Source organism: Homo sapiens, chromosome 15 (assembly GCF_000001405.40).
Source record: "Homo sapiens chromosome 15, GRCh38.p14 Primary Assembly".
Lineage (NCBI taxonomy): Eukaryota > Metazoa > Chordata > Mammalia > Primates > Hominidae > Homo > Homo sapiens.
The window spans coordinates 45,841,353-45,862,164 of NC_000015.10; the positions used below are offsets into that span (position 1 = coordinate 45,841,353).

The window sequence follows — 20,812 nt, forward strand, 5'->3', positions numbered from 1 at the left end:
TTCTGCTGAGAGCCACTTCCACCACTTAATAAAATCCTCCACATTCATCACCTTTCAAACTGTTTGTGTGACCTGGTTCTTCCTGCATGCTGAACAAGAGCCTGAGTACCAAGAGGGCAGGGTGTAAAAGGCTGTCGCACTCACTCTCCACTGAGCTGGTTCACACTTAGCCATCTGTGGATGGCAAGTGCTAAAACAGCATTAATTGTAACACACCCCTAGATGCTGCTTTGGGGCCGGAGCCCAAAAGTGCTTGCCCAGCCTCGGCACCCGCTCACCTGCCTGCTCCCACTCCCACAAGGGGTTTGAGCTGGGCGGCAGCCGAGTAAGTGAGCCACACCCCTGTCACAAGTCCCGTGAAGGGGTCAAGGGAACTCTCCCGTCTCATTTGGAGGCTTCATCATGTAGGCATGATTGATTATTAATTCATTCTTCAGCTTCTCTCCCCTTTCTAGAGGACCGGGGGTGGGGCTGAAAGCTCCAAGCTTCTAAACACGGCTGGGTTCTTCTGGTGATCAGCCCCCATCCAGGACTCCACCGAGAGAGTCACCTCATTAGAACAAAAGATGCTCCTGTCTCCTAGTAAATTCCAAGGGGTTAGGAGCATTATGTCAGGAACCTGGGTCAAAGACCAAACATTAGAACAAAAGATGCATCTAGTACCCCTATCAGTCAGCAAATTACAAAGGTTTAGGAGCTCCATTTTGGGAAATGGGGATGAAAGCCAAAACACACATTTCTTACTATGCATCACAATGTCATAATATATAAACATAAGTATGTATGTTTATGTCTCACCATTTTTGATGTGTAGCATTTAAGGGTGTATTTATGAACACAGAGCTCTCCTGGTGCTTTAGCTAGATGCACTACTGGCAAGGCCATTCCTCATGGGAAGACAATGCAGGTTGTGCCCAGGTATCCTGACTCCAGCTTTCCAGAGCTGCAGTTGTCAAATTCTCCTGATTGGTCAATAAACATTGTGAAATGGGATTAAAAGTTAACCAGTCAGCTGTGCCTCTGCTGTTCCATTCCCTGCCTCATTAAATAGGTTTCCGGGTTTGTCCAGTTTTCTCCCCTCCCTGCCCTGTGAGTGGGATCCTGAGTTCACAGTCCAGCTTAGTGTGGATTTATCATGTAAAATCTGGAGAAAAGAGAAGGAGGGAAAGGATAGAGGTGCAGGGCTCTAGGCTTGGGAGTGGAGTTTTGTAGAGAATTTCAAAACAAAGGGGATAAAGGCAATGGGGTGGGAAGGGAAGTGGAAGAGAGAAACAAGCCACCTCTATGTATTCAATAAATACAAATAAAACACTTGAGTTTTTCCAAAATTACTTCTTTTGTCTGCTGCGTTTTTTGGAGATGATCCTGTTCTGAGACTAGACTATATGAATTATTGTTTTATTTGTATGTATATTCTATTAATTTCTGGTTTATGAATATATGTGTAGATGATAAACAGGACAAAATGGTATATCCTGAAAAGTAAGCCTCTCTCCCATCTCTGACCATGAGTTGCCCAGTTCTCTTTCCCTGATGCAACCATGTTATCAGTTTCTTGTGTATGCTTCCAGTAATAGTTGATACATAGAAAACGTGTATATAAGTAACTCCTAGCCTTAAAAAAAAAGGGTAGGATATTATATCCATGGTTCAGAAGCTTGCTTTTAAAATTTAAAAACATACCTGAAAATCTTCTATAGTAATATATAGTTTATATACAATATATAAACATTTGCATCATTAAAAATGTTAATCATACCTTTATAAGCATCACAGATGCGTGAATGAAAAAGTGCCGTGTGGTTATTGTAAGCAGTAGCCACATTTTAATGCAGTGTGTCGTCAGAGATTGCTGCCTAGTGGTTCCCATCTGCCTGCTTGCTGTTCAGGGCTCCTCACTGTGTTTCCGCACCTTGTAGGTAGATGCAATCCAGGGGGTGGGCAAATGTAGTGAGAGGAGTGAGATATCTGAGCTCTGTCAGGCAGAATGGAATGTTCTGAGAAAAGAAAGAAGAGAAAGAAAGAAAAGAAAAGAAGGAAGGAAGGAGGAAAGAAGGAAAGAGGAAAGAAAGAAAAAGAAAAAGAGAAGGAAGGAAGAAAGAAAGAAAGAAAGAAAGAGAAAGAAAGAGAAAAGAAAGAAAGAGAAAAGAAAGACAAAGAAAAGAAAGAAAGACCACTGTCCCAGAAGTCTTCACTGATTTCAAGTTTGGTGAATTTTTAGCCAAATACCACTTAAGTCTGAGCCCAGAGTTTCTGGATTACAAAAAGCTTTTCCTCATGAAGGTACATCACATAGTGCAAGTTTCGAGTATTATCTCAGTAACCCTCAGAATAGCAATTTTACTTTCAAGTAACCTGTTTTTTTTTTGTTTTGTTTTTGTTTTTGTTTTTGTTTTGAGACGGAGTCTTGCTCTGTCCCCCAGGCTGGAGTGCAGTGGCGAGATCTCGGCTCACTGCAAGCTCCGGCTCCCAGGTTCACGCCATTCTCCTGCCTCAGCCTCCCGAGTAGCTGGGACTACAGGCGCCCACCACCATGCCCGGCTAATTTTTTGTATTGTTAGTAGAGACAGGGTTTCACCATGTTAGCCAGGATGGTCTTGATCTCCTAACCTTGTGATCTGCCCATCTTGGCCTCCCAAAGTGCTGGGATTACAGGCGTTCGAGTACCCTATCTTGAACTCATTCATACAACGTACACATAATGGAAGGCTAAAAAAGCTATTTTTCATAATCTCTGGGGTAAAGTGAAATAGTTTTCTCAAGTGTGTCTAAGTGACCATGGAGACAAAACTCAGTTATCGCTGTTTCCAATCTCCTCTCTGGACATGGCCCTTTACATAGTGGTTATTCGAACCTCAAGCCTAGGACACCCACGTAAAAAAACCCAGCCATTTTCCTTTTAATATCTGTGGTAGAACTTGGGCATTCATTTTTTCAATTATAGTTGGGGAAAAAAAAGAAAATTACAAGACCAGAGAGATGAAAGAGATTCCCCATAAGACACTTTTATTTATTTATTCAGCCTCTTCTCATCTCCTTTCTCCATCTAGATCTCCCTCCTTACTACCACTTCAGCTGAGAAAGTAATTATAGACAACACCAAAGAGCATATAAACACTTCCAAATTCCTGTTATAAATGAGCCTTTAGGAAGTAAAGAGCTTTGCAACAGTTAAAAAAAATCTCTGAACCTGGCTGGGATGTCAGGACTAAGGATTTGATCCATAAAAAGTTCCTAAACAGCCCCACGGAAATTGTAACCATATGTTTACAATGTTAAAATGCATATTTGAATTGAGATAAATCTGGCATCCAATGCATATGCCATTGATGCAAATAAAGCATTTTCTCATAAATACAATTTACTTAAATGAGGAAGCGAGTTAGATGTGGTGGGGTCTCAATGTTTCATTTTAGCAAATTGCCTTGAAGTGATACTATGATTTTAAAATTCGCTAGTGTGTCATTCTGCACCAGGTATCCACAGGCAGGCTGTCTCAATGGCTGTCAATACAAGGAGGACCTCCTTCCTTAGGCGTGACTGTACTTTGATTCTTCTGATTACAAGGAGATGTACATTTTAAGACATCTAGAGTCAGAGAGTAGCCAAAGGATTTTATTCAGGTTTTGTTTCCTATCAAATACTATGTCACATTATCTTCAGACATTATCTGTTTTGTCAGATAATTCCTTATATAACGAGTTCCTCTGAATTTGGAACATGGCTCAAGCACTTCTGGGATTTTGAGCTGGTTTGCATATTGGCATCTACTCTGGGGATTTTGTCTGTAGCCCATTGTGGAGACCCAGCCTTTGTGGGGGCTGTCCGATGGTTATGCTGGAAGAAAGTGGAGTAACATTCTGACCCTGTTTAATACCCTCCTTAGGCTTTTCATCTATTCAATCATAACTTTCCTTTGCCTTATGTAGGATACCAAGGAGTAGGTTTTTCCCTCTGGTTTTTAGATTCATTTCTACCCATCCAGGTAAGTATCAAGCAAGAAGAATTTCTTTTTTTTTTTTTGATGTAATTTCTTTAATGTTTATTCTTCTATTACAAAGTTTGAAGAACTGTAAGAATCACATTTTGATCATTTCTTTTCAATACTATTTATTTTTTATCTGAGACCATTTAGTTTAATCATCTGCCTAAATCAAAATGTACAGGATAGGTCATTAGGTCTACTCGTTGTTCCATTAATCATCATTTTATTTTATTTTTTATTTTATTTTTTTCTAGCTCTGTCATTTATTTGCTATGTAACCTCAGTCACATATGTTTTTATTTATTTATTTATTTATTATTATTATTATACTTTAAGTTTTAGGGTACATGTGCACAATGTGCAGGTTTGTTACATATGTATACATGTGCCATGTTGGTGTGCTGCACCCATTAACTCGTCATTTAGCATTAGGTATATCTCCTAATAATATCCCTCCCCCCTCTCCCCACCCCACAACAGTCCCCAGAGTGTGATGTTCCCCTTCCTGTGTCCATGTGTTCTCATTGTTCAATTCCCACCTATGAGTGAGAACATGCGGTGTTTGGTTTTTTGTCCTAAGCAAGAAGAATTTCTAACCCAAATACATCCAGTGGGAAATCTCAAAATTTTAATAGTTTCTTTTCCTAGAACAGGAATGTTTGCATGTTTTATATCTTTGTGTATTTTGAAGATGTACAGCAACCTTAGTAGTACTGTACTTTAAAACAGGAGTCCTACCTGCTCTGTGAGAAGGAAACACCAATATAAGATGAGGCCAAGGATATGGACCTCTATTTAGTGAAGTATCCCCAGGCTCTTCTCATACAAAAGTAGATTCTTTGGCATTCCACCCAGTAATCATGGGAAGCAAGAAAGGCTTCAGAGATGAATTGAACTGAGTACACAGCAGGCATTCCTGGTCTGATTCATAGGAACTTATTTTTGCTGGGTACAGTGGTATTTTTCAACATGTGTATCAATAGAAAATTTGAGTATAGTAAGGCCAACAGATCAAGAGGCAATTGCCATTGAAAAGATAGTTTATGGCCGGGCGTGGTGGCTCACGCCTGTAATCCCAGCACTTTGGGAGGTTGAGGTGGGTGGATCACCTGAGGTCAGGAGTTCAAGACCAGCCTGCCAACATGACAAAAACCCATGTCTACTGAAAATACAAAAAATTAGCTGGGCATGGTGGCGGGTGCCTGTAATTCCAGCTACTCAGAAGGCTGAGGTAGGAGAATCACTTGAACTAGGGAGGCAGAGTTTGCAGTGAGCTGACATCGTGCTGTTGCACTCCAGCTGGGGCAACTAGAGCGAGACACCATCTCAAAAAAAAAAAAAAAAAAAAAAGAAACGGGGCAACCCGCTCGGGTCCCCTTCCACACTGTGGAAGCTTTGTTCTTTCGCTCTTTGCGATAAATCTTGCTACTGCTCACTCTTTGGGCCCACGTTGCTTTTATGAGCTGTAACATTCACTGCGAAGATCTGCAGCTTCACTCCTGAGCCCAGCAAGACCACGAGCCCACTGGGAGGAACGAACAACTCCAGACGCGCCACCTTAAGAGCTGTAACACTACTGCAAGGGTTCGCGGCTTCATTCTTGAAGTCAGTGAGACCAAGAACCCACCAATTCCGGACACATTTTAGCTCAGATATAGTATTACATCACATTAATATACTTTAAATTTACTTATCCATATTCTCTCAGCTAACAGTAAAGATTTTAAAAATTAATAATCTAGTATAGATTAATGGTAAAGGGCAGAGAAGCTATATATTGATATCATGTCTTGGAAAGTAAAGTTTTAGGTAAGTTACCAAAATTTGAAATTCATATACCATTGAGCTGTGAAGTCCACATCTGGTAATCTATCCAAAAAAATACTTGTGCAGATATGGAGAAATTTACTAGGATGCTCTTTTAAAAAATAATAAAATTATGTAAAAACAAACAAACAAACAAACAAACAAACAAACAAACCCGAAAAGATAGTTTATCACTTGCAGTTCCCAAGAGGAAGGGACATGCCATACCACGGGGGCCTCATGGGGAAGCCCTGGGATGAGTCAGGAGGCAGAGGAAGAGGGGAGAACAGTGGGCAAGAGCCTTTGTTGTTTTCCTTGGGAAAAGCTTGGGTGAGGCAAGGTGAACTGACTTAGGATTGGCTAGTTTAATAATTTCAATGGGCTCTGAGGGATAGAGGCTATCCCTACCTGTCTGGTATTTGGCCATAGGGTAATTAGGGCAGGGGTGTAGTAGCTTGGAGTGTGAGAGCCCAGTAAGAGGTGGTTTGGGGCTGTGAGCTCCGGGTTGGTTGTTTTTTATTTGAAAAGCATAACCTGGGAGGGGGACTTCTCCAGGTAAAGGGAGTGGGGGGGGTCAGTTGACAAGAGAGGCAGGAGGACAAGGCAACGTGACTGAGACATATTATTGGGTTGTCTAGAATGAGGTGTGTTTGACATATGCATGTAGGACAGATATGAAAATGTCAAGTTTACAGAAGTTAGGCACGTGGTTAATATAAGTGGCTAAAAGCCAAGATTCTAGAATCAAACTGCTTGATTTCTTAATATGTAATAATGGCCTGGTGCAGTGGCTCATGCCTGTAATCCCAGCACTTTGGGAGGTCAAGGCAGGCAGATTGCCTGAGCTCAGGAGTTCAAGACCAGCCTGGGCAATGTGGTGAAACCCCGTCTCTACTAAAATACAAAAAATTAGCCAGGCGTGGTGGTGTGCACCTGTAGTCCCAGCTACTCAGGAGGCTGAGGGAGGAGAATTGCTTGAACCCGGGAGGAGGAGATTGCAGTGAGCCAAGATCACACCACTGTACTCCAGCATGGACAACAGAGTAAGACTCTGTCTGCAAAAAAAAAAAAAAAGTAGTAACATCCCCACCTGCCATATGACGGGCCTGAGAAAGGTGTTAAACAGGGCACATTTTATAACCCATTTACTCCTTATAATAACTCAAGGGCACAGGTACTATTATCAGTCTCATTTTACATATGGGATAAGTGAGGCCCAGAGAGGTTAATATATGAAAGTGCTTAGAACAGTGTCTGACATCTAATAAATGCCAAATAAGTGTTTGCTACTATTATTCTATTATCATTCTTGGCATGTTTCAGGGATCCAAGCCAGTCATGGTTAACCTGCTCACGCACATCTGATGGGTAAAGCTTGTGCCTCTGCAATTTGAATGATTTGGATTACAGAGTCAAGTTCATGTTCTTTTTTGGCAGGGGGATGCCCAACTATACAACAAAGAGTTGCCAAACATTTCTCTGGAGCAAATAAATGGTGTGATGGATGGAACTAACTGGATCACCAACCTGTGAGAGATGGCTGGTTCACTGGCCTTGGCCTCCTCGGGCCATGACATTAATTCACTGGGTAAGGCTCTGGTGGCCCAGCCAGAGATTCTTCCTTTGCTGCTTCCAAGTGAGAAGCTCTTCCCTCTGGCCTTGGCCTGGAAACTGAACTCACTTTCCTTTGAGCTCCTCCACCCTCCAAAGTCAAGTCTTAACAAAACAACATATTCCCCATGCAGGCTCTTAGAGTACAACAAAACCTGCTAAACTGTGGTCTTGAGGATGTCATGAATGGAACAAGATGGACATCTCTCATGGTGTGCTGAAAGACAAGTAGTGCACAGATGCAAGTGTGCATTAGGCAAACACAGTATCAAAGTGTGGAATTTAGGACCCAAATCTCAGTTCTGATTGCTTGACCTAGCGTATCCTTGGCCTTTTGTCCTTATTCGGCTCTCCAGGAAGTCTTAGAAGTGTTCTGAAATGCTGCTTCTCTTTGTTTCAGTTGAGTCACATGGACAATCTTTGACTACTCAGGAAGCACAGCCTTTCTGACCAACCACCTCTGATAACTTAATAACTTTTTTCTCCTCTAACCATCATCTTTGTTACCATTGCTGTTTGGGAATGAAAGATACTTTTAGGTTTCCTGGGCATGCTGCTTGCTTATCTAACCGAACATGTACATATTAACCCGACTACATGGCCCACTGACTTCGCACTTCAATATTGTTCAGCTGATAGTTGGGTTCAGTGGGTGGAGGAAATGGGTAAAAGGATGTCATTTTCAGCAGGAACAACTGAAGCAATTTGGATGACTTGTATTTCTGTGTTCAAACAGTATAGGCTAAACCCTCCTCTGCACAAGCTCACAGATAACAGGGTGAGTGATCCTGAGGGGACTGCTCTAGGATAACAATGTTTCACTGATCTGATTACAAGGAATTCTTGACAAAGAATAATCAGGACAATAGAAGTTGTTTCCAGCAACTACTAATGTAGTAATCACTCTTCCCGATGAAAGTACCAAATTGTTCTGCAAACCGGTGAGCTGAGCTCTGTGGAAACAGATCACATACCTTTGAGAGGCATAACTTCAGAGCAGCTGGTAACACCCCTAGTTTTATTTCCTCCACAGCAATGTTTTAAACAAAGGTGTCCTGGCTCCTAGTTCCTGTGGAGGAGTTCTTCAACCTAGTTCTTCAGAAGGCATAAAAAGAAGCAATGAGCCAAAAACAAACCCAAAAACCTCTCTTTAAAAAGAGCAAAAGAGATCTTGTACCTAGCCTATGAAATTATTCTTGACTTGGGGAGGCCATTAGTTCTGGGACTCAATGTGTGAAGATGGCTTAGAACATATAAAAAAATGCCTTTCTTGTGTTGCTACAATATTAACATTTGCAACCCCTTGGCAATCTTTTTTAAGATTCACAAGCCTGGATTGAAGTCCAAGTTCTACTCTAGCTAGCTGGGCGAACTTTAGCAAACCATTGATTTTCCTTGGAGGTCTAATTCCTTCATCAAGCATTCATTTAACTTAAACACTTTTAAAAAAATAAAATTGAAACCAGCTCAATTGTCCCATAGAACTGTTGTTTATGGTTTTTTTTGAATAAACATAGAAATTGACTCCCCCCACCCCCGTCATAAAACTTGAGAAAGTTGTATTTGTCTTATCTGAGTTTTCTCAGGAAACCAATCATCAGGCCTCCCAGATAGTATGAAGGAACTGAAACTCGCCAGACGACCACATCCAGACAACTGGAAGCCAAAGCCCTCATTGCTCATGATTTCCTTACTCCTCCCTAATTCCTGTTTACCTGCATGCAGTTACAGTTTTTCCCTGCTATATAAACACTCAGTTTTAGACAGTCAGGGAGATGGATTTGAGACTGATATTTTATTTTCCTCAGCTGTAGCACCCAAATAAATCCTTCTTCCATGGCAATACTCATTGTCTCAGTGATTGGCTTTCTGTGTGCTGAGCAATAGGACCTAGATTTTGTGATTACCTCTATACTTCCAAGTTGGGAGTCAAAGCACAAAAAAGAGTTTGCTTTACATTTTTGTACTCTTATTGTGTCCAGTGTTTGTTCCTTCTGGTGGCTTCGTGGTCTCGCTGACTTCAAGAATGAAGCCGTGGACCTTCGCGGAGAGTGTTACAGCTGTTAAAGGTGGCACGGACCCAAAAAGTAAGCAGCAGTAAGATTTATTGTGAAGAGCGAAAGAACGGAGCTGCCACAGCATGGAAGGGGATCCGAGAGGGTTGCCACTGCTGGCTGGGGTGGTCAGCTTTTATTCCCTCATTCGTCCCCAGCCATGTCCTGCTGATTGGTCCATTTTACAGAGTGCTGATTGGTCCATTTTACAGAGTGCTGATTGGTCCATTTTACAAACCTCTAGCTAGCTACAGAGGGCTGATTGGTGCATTTTTACAGAGCACTGATTGGTGCATTTTACAAACCTCTAGCTAGGTACAGAGTGCCGATTAGTGTGTTTTTACAGAGCACTGATTGGTACATTTTACAAACCACTTGTAAGACAGAAAAGTTCTCTGAGTCCCCACTCGACCCAGGAAGTCCAGCTGGCTTCACCTCTCATTATTATGATGAAAACGAAAAAGCTTATGAATATACCATCTTGATGGTTTACAGTCATTTAATACAGTCCAGAATTGGCAACCAGCCTTTTTTGTCTGTGTTCAAAGGAAAACAGTCTACTACACTTTTTATTTAAATTACAAAAATCACCCACTCTATAAGTTTACTAAGGAACCAGGCTACCCTCTCTAGCCTGAAATTCAATATTTGAAATTGGGGCTATAATGGAAAATTACAGCAATTGAACAAAAAGTTTCATGTTACTATTATTACCCCTTTAAACTGTCCTCAGACAGTTCAGTGATGCTTTTTAGAAGTGGCAGCCAACTTTGAGTCTTGTCTCAATCTTTATTTGAAGTCATAAAATGTGACATTATAAATTCAGAAATTAAACAGCATTGCTAATACAGAAGCACTTCTGAAGGTGGTGCATGCATGCTAATTATCATCCTTAAAATAATCCCCTAGACACCAAACATTTTCTGAAATAGCTCAGTTATAATAAATACATCTGCAAATCATCTTTTATGGGCATGATTCATGTGTGCACACATTTTTGACAGTGCGATAATATGTAGGGAGTAGGAGTACATTTCCATTCTTTCTGAACATTTCTGGCCACCAGAGAGAACTAGGTAGTCCTGGTGAATGTCGAGTACCTTACATCTTTGGTATTCTATAATAGATAAGAGGTGGATTCATGAATTAGTAACTTTATTTCTCTGAGACATACAATGTCCCAATTTGAAGAACTTGTTTTACTTACACACTGGGATTGTCTTGGGCACATGTGGAATTGGGGTTTCCCACTTTATTCTGTTTGAAGACACAGGAGAGCCCTCAGCTCTGTTTTGCCTATCTACTTGAACTTCTGAAATTTTATAGTTAGACGTGCAGTACTTGGATAAAGAGACTATCCACATCCACACAGGTGTCTTCTTTTTAAAATGCACTTACTGTGCAGGATGAGATCTAAAATACAGATATCTTGACATACAGATATCTAGGTAAGAAACACCTGCAAGGGGCACTACATTAATCTGTCAGACAATAAAATCTTAGTATAAATAAATTTTCAAAAGTTAGAACAAATGAATAATTGATGGACAATGACTCTTAGCCTTGAAGATTATATTGCTTTGAGGATTCTGAGTTCTGTCTTCCACTAAGAGTATCTATCATGGGTTTGGAGAGAAGAAACTATGGCATTCACGTGAATTTTTGGTGCACAAGACCTAGATATTTTGGTAATGGATGAATAGTTTATTTTTAAATAAAAATTGGGACAAAAAGTCTGGCAAGAAGTTTTTTTGTTGTTTCTGGGTCTAAGAGGGAATAAAAGAGACAAAATTTAGATGTGGACATAATGCAACTTCCAGCATAATTTTATGATTTATAGGAACAATTGAATATTTAAATTGAAGACTACTCTGAAAAATTTCATGGTTAAGAAAGTATGCTAGCTTAGCTGGGGCCACAGCAGTAAAGGAGTGGACATTCTGAGGCAAGGATGGTGAAAGGGAGGGAAGGAAGGAGCCTTTCAGCTGTGACAGTGTCAGGGAAGTACAGGCAGGGGCAGGTGAATCAGTTGTTATCTGAAATGCTTATGTTGAGACACATCCCATTGCAGCCCCTAAAATGGTTCACAAGTTGGCTTCTGTCCCCATGTAGGCAAAATTTCCACTATTCAGGCTGTGAAGGGAGTTGTCTCCTCCAGAGAGACCCTGCCCTTTAAAAGAACACAAATGATTTTATTATGGATAACCAAATTAGAGATAACACTGTTAACCCCATCTGAGAAAACCAAACCAAAACAAACCAAAGCTGGAGGGGCAGGAGTGGTCATGTGAAATGATTTTCTTCTTATTAATTTCTTGGGTCATTTAGAAACTTGCAAAATTTTGAACCACTCATCCCTGGTCCTTGGCTTCACTAGGCTATCGCTGAATTTCCCTGGTACACATTTCTTTTTTTCTAGTCATCCAGGGATGCCATTTTAGTGCAGAGCAGAGCCAAGAAGGTCCTGCATGCTAAATATCAAAAACAGTCCCCAGGAGTTATCACAAACCTCCTTGCAGGTTTGTGTCTTTGGGAGGAGAAGAAATAAAGCGGCTATCTCCACGTTAGCCATTGACTTTCATGTCTCCCTTCTTTACTTCCTCCTGGGCTACTGACCCTAGTGACCCATCAAAGCCTGGGTGCAATGTTACCTGGCATTCTTCTTGCTTTTTTCCTATGGGTGCTCAGGCCAGCAGCTGGCACTATTTGCCCCAAGTACTTAGCTTGTCCCAACATTCTGACGCCATGCTCATAGCTGATGCTACATGAGTGAGTGCATAGGGAGGCACGATTGTGCTAGCTAGGCCATCCACTGGTCTCAGAGTCCTTAGAGAACACTCTTCAGCTTCTGTTTGGCTTCTTGTCCTCCTGATCAGAGGAATGACCCCTCCTCTCTCAGATGGTTCCTTGCTCTGGAAAGAATGGAGAACTAACATCAAAATCGGATGATTATTCACCCCTTGGGATTCTGACTTGAAGAATTTCTTAGGTTGGAGGTGGTAGGTATTGGTGCAGGCAGTCTTTCGTTTTCTGTCTCCTCGGCAGAAGACATCAGATGTTTGGTCTTCTCCAAGAAGGGTGGCTGGGGAAAATTAGTGCAGCCTTCTGAATAGGTGTATGATTGATTTGGTGGTGCTAGCTCTTGATTCTACTTACAATGCCTATAATTTTTGAAAAATCTTCTACCTTCCAGTAAAGAAAAATTCCATTTCCCACACTGAAATTATCTTCTACTTCTCATTTATGATGCTGTAGTTTTCCACCCCCCCGTTCCACTCCCTAACTTCTTTATTATTATTATTATTATTATTATTATTATTATTATTATTATTGTTTTTTAGACAGTTTTGCTCTTGTTGCCCAGGCTGGAGTGCAGTGGCGCGATTTTGGCTCACTGCAACCTCCACCTCCTGGGTTCAAGAGATTCTCCTGCCTCAGCCTCCTGAGTAGCTGAGATTATAGGCGCCCACCACCATGCTCGGCTAATTTTTTGTATTTTTAGTAGAGAGAGGGTTTCATAATGTTGGCCAGGCTCGTCTCAAACTCCTTAACTCAGGTGATCCACCCATCTCAGACTCCCAAAGTACTGGGATTACACAGGCGTGAGCCACCACACCTGGCCCACTCTCCAACTTCTTATGTCCATTTTCCTAGGCCACTTCTAGAGATGATAGCACATAGATCTCAAAATAGTTTTAAAATCTTGAGTTATTAGTTTAAAACAGCATTAGGAGAACTTACAAGTACTTACTCTGTCATAACCTGGTTCAGCTTGTCCCAGGCTCTGTGCCATCGTGGAATCCTTTCTGTTTCCTCCTAAGTCATTTGGTCTCTCCTTTCGCCTTGTCTGAATCAGGTCTGCCCTCAATGCCAAGTCAACACCTGCCTCCCTTTCTCAGGGTACAGTCAGAATGTAGATTATGTCTCAATTCAAGTATGCCTTGAGAACGAGATTTCCATAGAGTAAAAAAAAAAAAAAATCACTGTGAAAGAGATAATGGGAAAAGAAGATGAACAGCTGCCTCTCTTGGGGTGGGGAAGAGAAAGAGAAATCAGAAAACATACATGGGAGAAAACTACTTTTTTAAGAGTTGGCTTTTCTCAGATGATAAGTAGTTTTATGAAACGAGTTTACTTGAAATCACATGGCCTTGGTTCAAACTTTGGCTCTACTACTTATTGCTGTGTGACTTTGGACAAGTCACTTAACCTCTCTGGTCTCAGGTTTTTTGATATTGCCTCAGGACAATAATATCCGATTTTTGGGAGGTTGTGAGAATTCAAGTTTCAAGTGTTGAGAACAGTGCTTGACACGTAGTAACTACTCAACAAACATTAATTTTTGAAAAGCCATATGTTTTTGGACCAAATTTGCCAATGTTAAAATGACCATAATAATGATAACAATATTCACAAATCAATGCCTAGAGTATCTGGAGCTGGCGGTGCATGTTTGCAGGCCTGGTTCTCAGGCAAGTCCAGGAACCTAGAAGTTTGTTCCTCTTCTGCAAATGCTGGGGCAATGGGAAGGGAACAAAGCAGATAAGGTTTCCAGACCACAGTCAGTTGGCAATCCCTGCCCTGGTAAATAGAGGACTGTGTGATGTCTGTTTACCGTGTGCTCAAGAAAGGAATTCCAGCCTGGCTTTCTTTCAACTTGGTGCTAACCACCTGGAGAGGAATAGTTTAAGAAAAGATTTAAAGTACCAGTACTTTTCAACAGAGCTATGAGAACCTGCTTGCTAAAAATTCATCTTGTCTAATAATTACATTTTTCAAAACTCTGCAGAGCTGTGATGGTCCCCGTGGTTAGTACATCCTCTAACACAAACAGACCCAAGCAGACAAGAAGGGTGGGCCTGATGCAGGACATTTGCCCAGAGCCGCCAAGTCAAAGTGAGCTTTGTGTACAGCCTGCTGGCTCATTAGGGGTGTAGCTGCTGCATGCTGGTTCATTAGGGGTGTAGCTTCACATCCAGGTTCCCTGGGCTCTTCAGGACAGAGAGGCAACCTAGTGAATGGGAAAGGACACTGGCCTAGTGGGAGGTGTTTGGGTCATGAGGGTGGATCTCTCATGAATGGCTTAGTGCTGTTTCAAGACTAGAACCAAGAATGAGTTGGATTAGGAGGTCTAAGATTCAGAGAGCTGAAGTTCTTCTGCTGTAAAAAGAGGTTCATAACATGAAGATCTACCTATTTGCCAAGGTCACGGGAGAGGTCTAATGAGAATAAAAACTATAAAGTGCTGTTCAAACATTAGATGGAGTCATTACCTGTTCTGTTGATAGAGTACCAGAATACCTGTATGTGAGTCTGTGCATATGTTCCTGTGTGCTCGTGACAAAAACAGACTCACTTTAAACACACACATTTTATATTGCTGTTCCTATTATTTCTGGATCTTTAAGAAAAATAATTTGCAAAAGTAATAATGCTTGCAGCAAACATTTACGTATACTTTCACTTCTCTGAGGCAACCACTGTCAGCTTTGTTTTAGTCTGAGTACTCCGAGAAGCAGATGCCAATCTGGTTAGACATGCAAGAGATTTATTAATGAAAACACCTGTAAGGACAATGAAGAGTGAGTCAGGGGAGAGGAGGAGAGTCATCTGACTGAAATGCAGACCTGAGGCCTGTGAAGAGAGAGAGAAGGAAGGAAGGTCTTAGATAGTAATGCAGTTTTGAGAAAGTTTCACTGAGAAAGACACAGACTTTGAGGCAAAGTCTTGTGTCAGGAGTTGTGCCTCTCCCAGAAATGGACCTGCTTTTGTATTCTTACTGCATTTATTCATTGGCTGGGATCAGCCTCACATTGTCATGGCCGCTGCAGTGCCTAGTCTTTCAGACTTTCTCTATGTCTATGTAATCTTTTGTAACACACACACACACACACACACACACACACACACACACACATGCATGAATATGTATAGATATCTACATAAACACTTACAGTTTTGTGGGTAGAGCCATGCTTTACATTTTGTTTGGCAACTTGCAATTTTCATTTAATAACAATTTTTTATGAACATCATCATATCAGTATATGATATGGTTTGGATATTTGTCTCCTCCCAATCTCATGTTGAAAATTGATCCCCAGTGTTGGAGGTGGGGCCTGGTGGGAGGTGTTTGGGTCATGGGGACGGGTCCCTCATGAATGGCTTGGTTTTGTCCCAAGACTAGAACCAAGAGTGAGTTCTTGCTCTACTAGTTCACATGAAAGCTAGTTGTTTAAAAGAGCCTAGTACCTCTCTTGCTGTCTCTTTCTTGCCATGTGACACACCGGCTCCCCCTTTGCCTTCTTCCATGATTGGAAGCTTCATGAGGTCGTGACTAGAGGCAGATGTTGGCACCATGCTTTTTGTAAAGCCTGCAGAACTGTGAGCCAAATAAACTGCTTTTCTTTAGAAATTATCCAGCCTCAGGTATTCTTTTATAGCAACACAAACAGACTAATATAGTATATATAGATTCTTCTCATTATTTTTAATGTGAATGGAATTTTATTATTTGCTATACTGAATTTTATTTAACTCATCCTCAGTTGATTTGCATTTGAGTTCCTTTCAGCTTTTCACTATTATACATAGGCCAGAAAACCTACTCTCACGTACATATTTTTATGTCCATATGTAGCTTTTTAAAATAGGGTAAATTCCTATAATCGAAATTGCTGAGTCAGAGGACATGACATGTAAACTTTCAATAGATACTGCCAAATTGACATCCAAAATAATTTCACCAATTCGGCTCTCCCACCAACAGTATATGACAGTGAATCATCAGCCATTGCTATATCAGTCCCAGGCATTGTCCTTCTTTGTAATTTTGCCACGTTGATGAGTGAAAAGCGAACATGTGGGCTTTAAATAAACCAATTTCAAAGGGAGAGTTCCTATATCCATGATTCCTTACGGCTTTCTCCTGGTGGATCTATCTATTCCTAATCCAAGCTGTTAGGAGCCTGGGTTTGACTTGTATAGGTTAGGAGTCCTGAACTCAGAAGCAGAGAAGAAAACTGGATGTGGTCTCTTATGCCAAATACCAATCACAAGCCCCCAAATGGCACCATTAGAAACTTGTTTCCTTGGAACTCTGGGAAGCTGTTAAAACCCAGAGCCCTCTATTGAAGTGAAAATACTCTCTTTGAGCCTCAGATATAATCCAGGATCTATGTTTTCCAATGGGAAAACTGAATTCTTTCCTAGACAGTGCTTCAATCAACCAGGGTCAAAAAATGAGTTAATGATAGAGTTCAGTCTGAGACCAGGTTTTCTGACTTCTACTCTCTTACTCTACACTGTGAGAATACAAATAATATTTTTTAAAAATCATAATTACAGCTATAAATGTTGGTGTTAACTAACCGTTTGGAATCATCAAGTTTCTTAAGTCAAATAGAGAAAATGAAAGCTAAAAGCACTAAATGCTTAATATCTGAAGAATTACAATGTATGTATTCATGTCACCATTTAGCATTTAATGAATCAAATACGTGGCTACAACGATGAAAAAGATAAAAATGGTTAGCTCTCTTGTTTTAGGGAAAGTGACTATGATGCTTTGGCTCTCAACAAGTAACTTTCATGTGTCGCTATTGTGTATATATAAATACATATAACAGGAAGTTTGGTTGCATAGTTTAAGTAGTTGTCCAAAGACCTTCCTAATTTCCAATTTAACCTAGTGTTGTAGATCCTAAACAAGCCATTCTAAACAGGGGAGTGAGTCCCTCTCTGTGACTCCTCAGAGCTGGTTGACAGCATTCCTTTGATCACTTTACTTTTGTACCCTGAGATGTAATTTATTTAAATCTGGAAGTATGAATTCTTAGGGTGTGAGTAGTACTAGTAAAAATATTCCCTAGTTCTTTGTAAAGTGGGAGGTGTTTGGGTCATGAGGGTGGATACCTCATGAATGGCTTGGTGTGGTTCCAAGACTAGAACCAAGAGTGAGTGCTCGCTCTATTAATTCACGTGAGAGCTAGTTGTTTAAAAGAACCTGGCATCTCTCTTGCTGTCTCTCTCTTGCTTTCTTTCTTGCCATGTGACACACCTGCTCCCCCTTCGCCTTCTTCCATAATTGGAAGCTTCCTGAAGTCCTGACCAGAGGCAGATGCTGACACCATGCTTCTTGTACAGCCTGCAGAACTGTGAGCCAAATAAACCTCTTTTATTAGGTTTATTTTAATTCTTCAGGAGTATTTTTTACTAGTTTGGAACTTTGAACTAAACAGAGAGAACAGTTTTGGTTAAGTAGAACCAAAGATCCCACTCCTTAAGTGAAGATAGAATGTAGAATGCCTCTCATTTCTGTTATCTTAGAAACCTGTAACATTAATTCTTGTGCCCCAAGTAGTGAGTCTGTTTTTTCTTGTTTATATTCATGATTTGAATTTATTACTGGGGATTTTAGTCTTTCTTCAGGATCTATCATTTGTCAATCCTCATTTTCCAACATTTATATAAATATTTTTCATTCCTAGCTCTGAAATCACATTGCTTTTTTTTGTTAACCTTTTTATTGTAAATGAAAGCACAGATTATGAAAGCCACACAATACGAATGTGTGGCTTAATGACTTATTTATGAGGCAAGTTCTCTTGTAACTATCACCCAGGTTAGGAAACAGAGCTGTATCACTGACCCCAGAAGTCTTCTATGTGCCTGTTACAATATCCAGCCTCCTGCTCTTTCAAAAATGGTCACCCACTGGACTTTTCTTATATTCCTAGACACTGTAATTTAGTCTTACCCATTTTTTATTTGCTTTTAAGTCTCTCTTGATTTACAGTGCACCCTTCATAACTTTATTTTCCCTATCATTTGTCATTTGAAAAACCTGGGGCATTTGACCTGTAGCATTACCCATAGTGTGGATTCTGTTCATTGCATACTTAGGGTGCAGTTCATCATGCTCCCCTTTACTTTGGATTTCCTGCAAGTTGGCAGCTGATGCAAAGTATTTATCAGATTTATGATCAATCTCTAGCAAGACTATAGGAGGTTGTTCAATCTTTCATCAAAAGGCACATCATGTCTGATTATATTTTTGCAACACTAGCAGTGGTGGATATTCAGTATCCAGATCCATTAGTTTATTGGGAGTAGCAAGGTAGTTACATTTTACTCTTTATTCTTTACTTATTAGTTAAAATATTTTGATAAAAAATGCATCTCATCATATACTATTTGGTTACTCCATGGTATTATATGTATAAGAAAAGCTAGATAAATTAAAAGGAATTGTGAGGTTTATAACAACGTGTAAGAAAAATGTATGAAAAAAATAGCAAAGGCCGGACGCAGTGGCTCACACCTGTAATCCCAGCACTTTGGGAGGCTGAGGCGGGTGGATCATGAGGTCAGGAGATCGAGACCATCCTGGCCAACACGGTGAAACCCTGTCTCTACTAAAAATACAAAAAATTAGCCAGGCGTGGTGGCGCATGCCTGTAGTCCCAGCTACTTGGGAGGCTGAGGCAGGAGAATGGCATGAACCCGGGAGGCAGAGCTTGCAGTGAGCCGAGATTGCGCCACTGCACTCCAGCCTGGGCAACAGAGCGAGACTCCGTCTCAAAAAAAAAATATATATATATATATATTTAGCAAAAAAATTGATTGATTACTTTATTTCCGGACAATATATGAGTGTGTGTGTGTTTTCTTTTCTGTGTATCTCATATTTTAAAAATCAAATCCTGGACATTGTGTGTAAAATAGTGAGACTGAAGAGAACAAAATTTGTGCCTGAAAATGGGCAGTTCTCTTCTTAAGTTATGCTTTTACTGTGGGGTGCTTGAGCTAATCCAGCCAACATTCCAGCTGTTTTTTTGGGTTGTTGTTACAGTTATGTTCAGTACACCATGGACTTCAAATTTCTTCATTGTTAAACTGCTCATAGTTGTATTCTGTGTGGGCTCTGAGGCTGCAGCAGGGTTTTTCTCAGAATTCCTGTCCAGTCAACTTCCATTGAATCTTGCATGGCTGTACCTGGGGTCTCTCTTCACGCCCTAGCCCCTTCTCAGAGGCAAAGTGCTATTACTCGTAACTCCTTGCTAGGCTGCAGTTTCCTGTGATTGGGGCAGAGTTCAGTGTTTTTTTGTTTTGTTTTGTTTTATTTATCTTACCCGTTTAACTCTCTCCAGGTAAATTTGTCTTGGTAGTTTTTATTTGATTGTTTTTTTTTGGGAATCGCCGAAGTTGGAGTTTTTTTCTTTTTCCCTCTTTAGACAGTCTAACCCTGGGATTTCACTTATATTCAGGAAGTGTCTAGGGTACACACCCAGTTATACCAAACTTCTCATCATTTGTTATGTCATATAGTATGGTTCTTAAGATTTGTATCACAACTGTTTCATGAGCTAGTACTTTCTTATTGATCAAAATATGGAGTACCTATTTTCTAAACTTTCTGAATGATGAAATAAATAGTGTGGCAAGTCGTGTACTAGGTCCTTCCAATTCTTTCTGGAAGTGTGCAGATTTTAAATGATAAATGAAGTCAGAATTTTTTTGCAAGTTCTCTTGCAGCAGAAAATGACTTCCAAGGATGTAGGCTGTGATATACACAGATTGGGTTTAAAAAGTCTTGGCTAGGCCAGGTGCGGTGGCTAACGCCTGTAATCCCAGCACTTTGGGAGGCCAAGGCAGGCGGATCACGAGGTCAGGAGATCGAGACCATCCTGGCTAACACGTTGAAACCCCGTCTCTACTAAAAAATACAAAAAATTAGCCGGGTGTGGTAGTGGGCGCCTGTAGTCCCAGCTACTTGGGAGGCCGAGGCAGGAGAATGGCGTGAACCTGGGAGGCAGAGCTTGCAGTGAGCCGAGATTGTGCCACTCTACTCCAGCCTGGGCGATGGACTGAGACTCTGTCTCAAAAAAAAAAAAAAAAATCTTGGCAAGCTGTGTCACTTTTAGCAATTTAATTATTCTATCTATATCTCAGTTTTTCCATCTGAGAAACAAAGATAATTATATTCATTCATATTTTTCAACAAATATTTATTGAGTGCTTTCTAAGTTGCAGGCATTGTTCTAGATGCTGGGGATACAGCAGTGACAAAATGTACAAAAACTCAGCCCTCAAGGAGCTTACTTTCTGCACTCACATAGATGGCTTCTGAAGATTAAATGAGATATAACATAATACTCCTTGTTCAGAGCTGGGACATGGTAGTTGCTCTATAAATGTTGATTCCTTCCTGCCTCCTTTTAATAGATGTTCCCTATCACTTTGAAAATGATACTTTTAATTGATTTAGCTCTTTGGCATTATTATTTCAGTAGTCAATGGTTTCCCAAGCAACAACAGCCTAGGCAATGTAATTGAGGCATAAATCAATGTTAAA

General features: G+C 40.6%; 1 long non-coding RNA gene across 1 annotated transcript in view; it reads left to right on the top strand.

The window, feature by feature from the left end:
• The window catches only part of LOC105370802 (uncharacterized), a 225,875-nt gene that overhangs the window by 136,158 nt on the left and 68,905 nt on the right, over positions 1–20,812 (top strand). The window contains exon 2 of the long non-coding RNA NR_135680.1: positions 7,229–7,379. This is a non-coding gene — a long non-coding RNA (uncharacterized LOC105370802). The remainder of the gene's footprint in view (positions 1–7,228; positions 7,380–20,812) is intronic.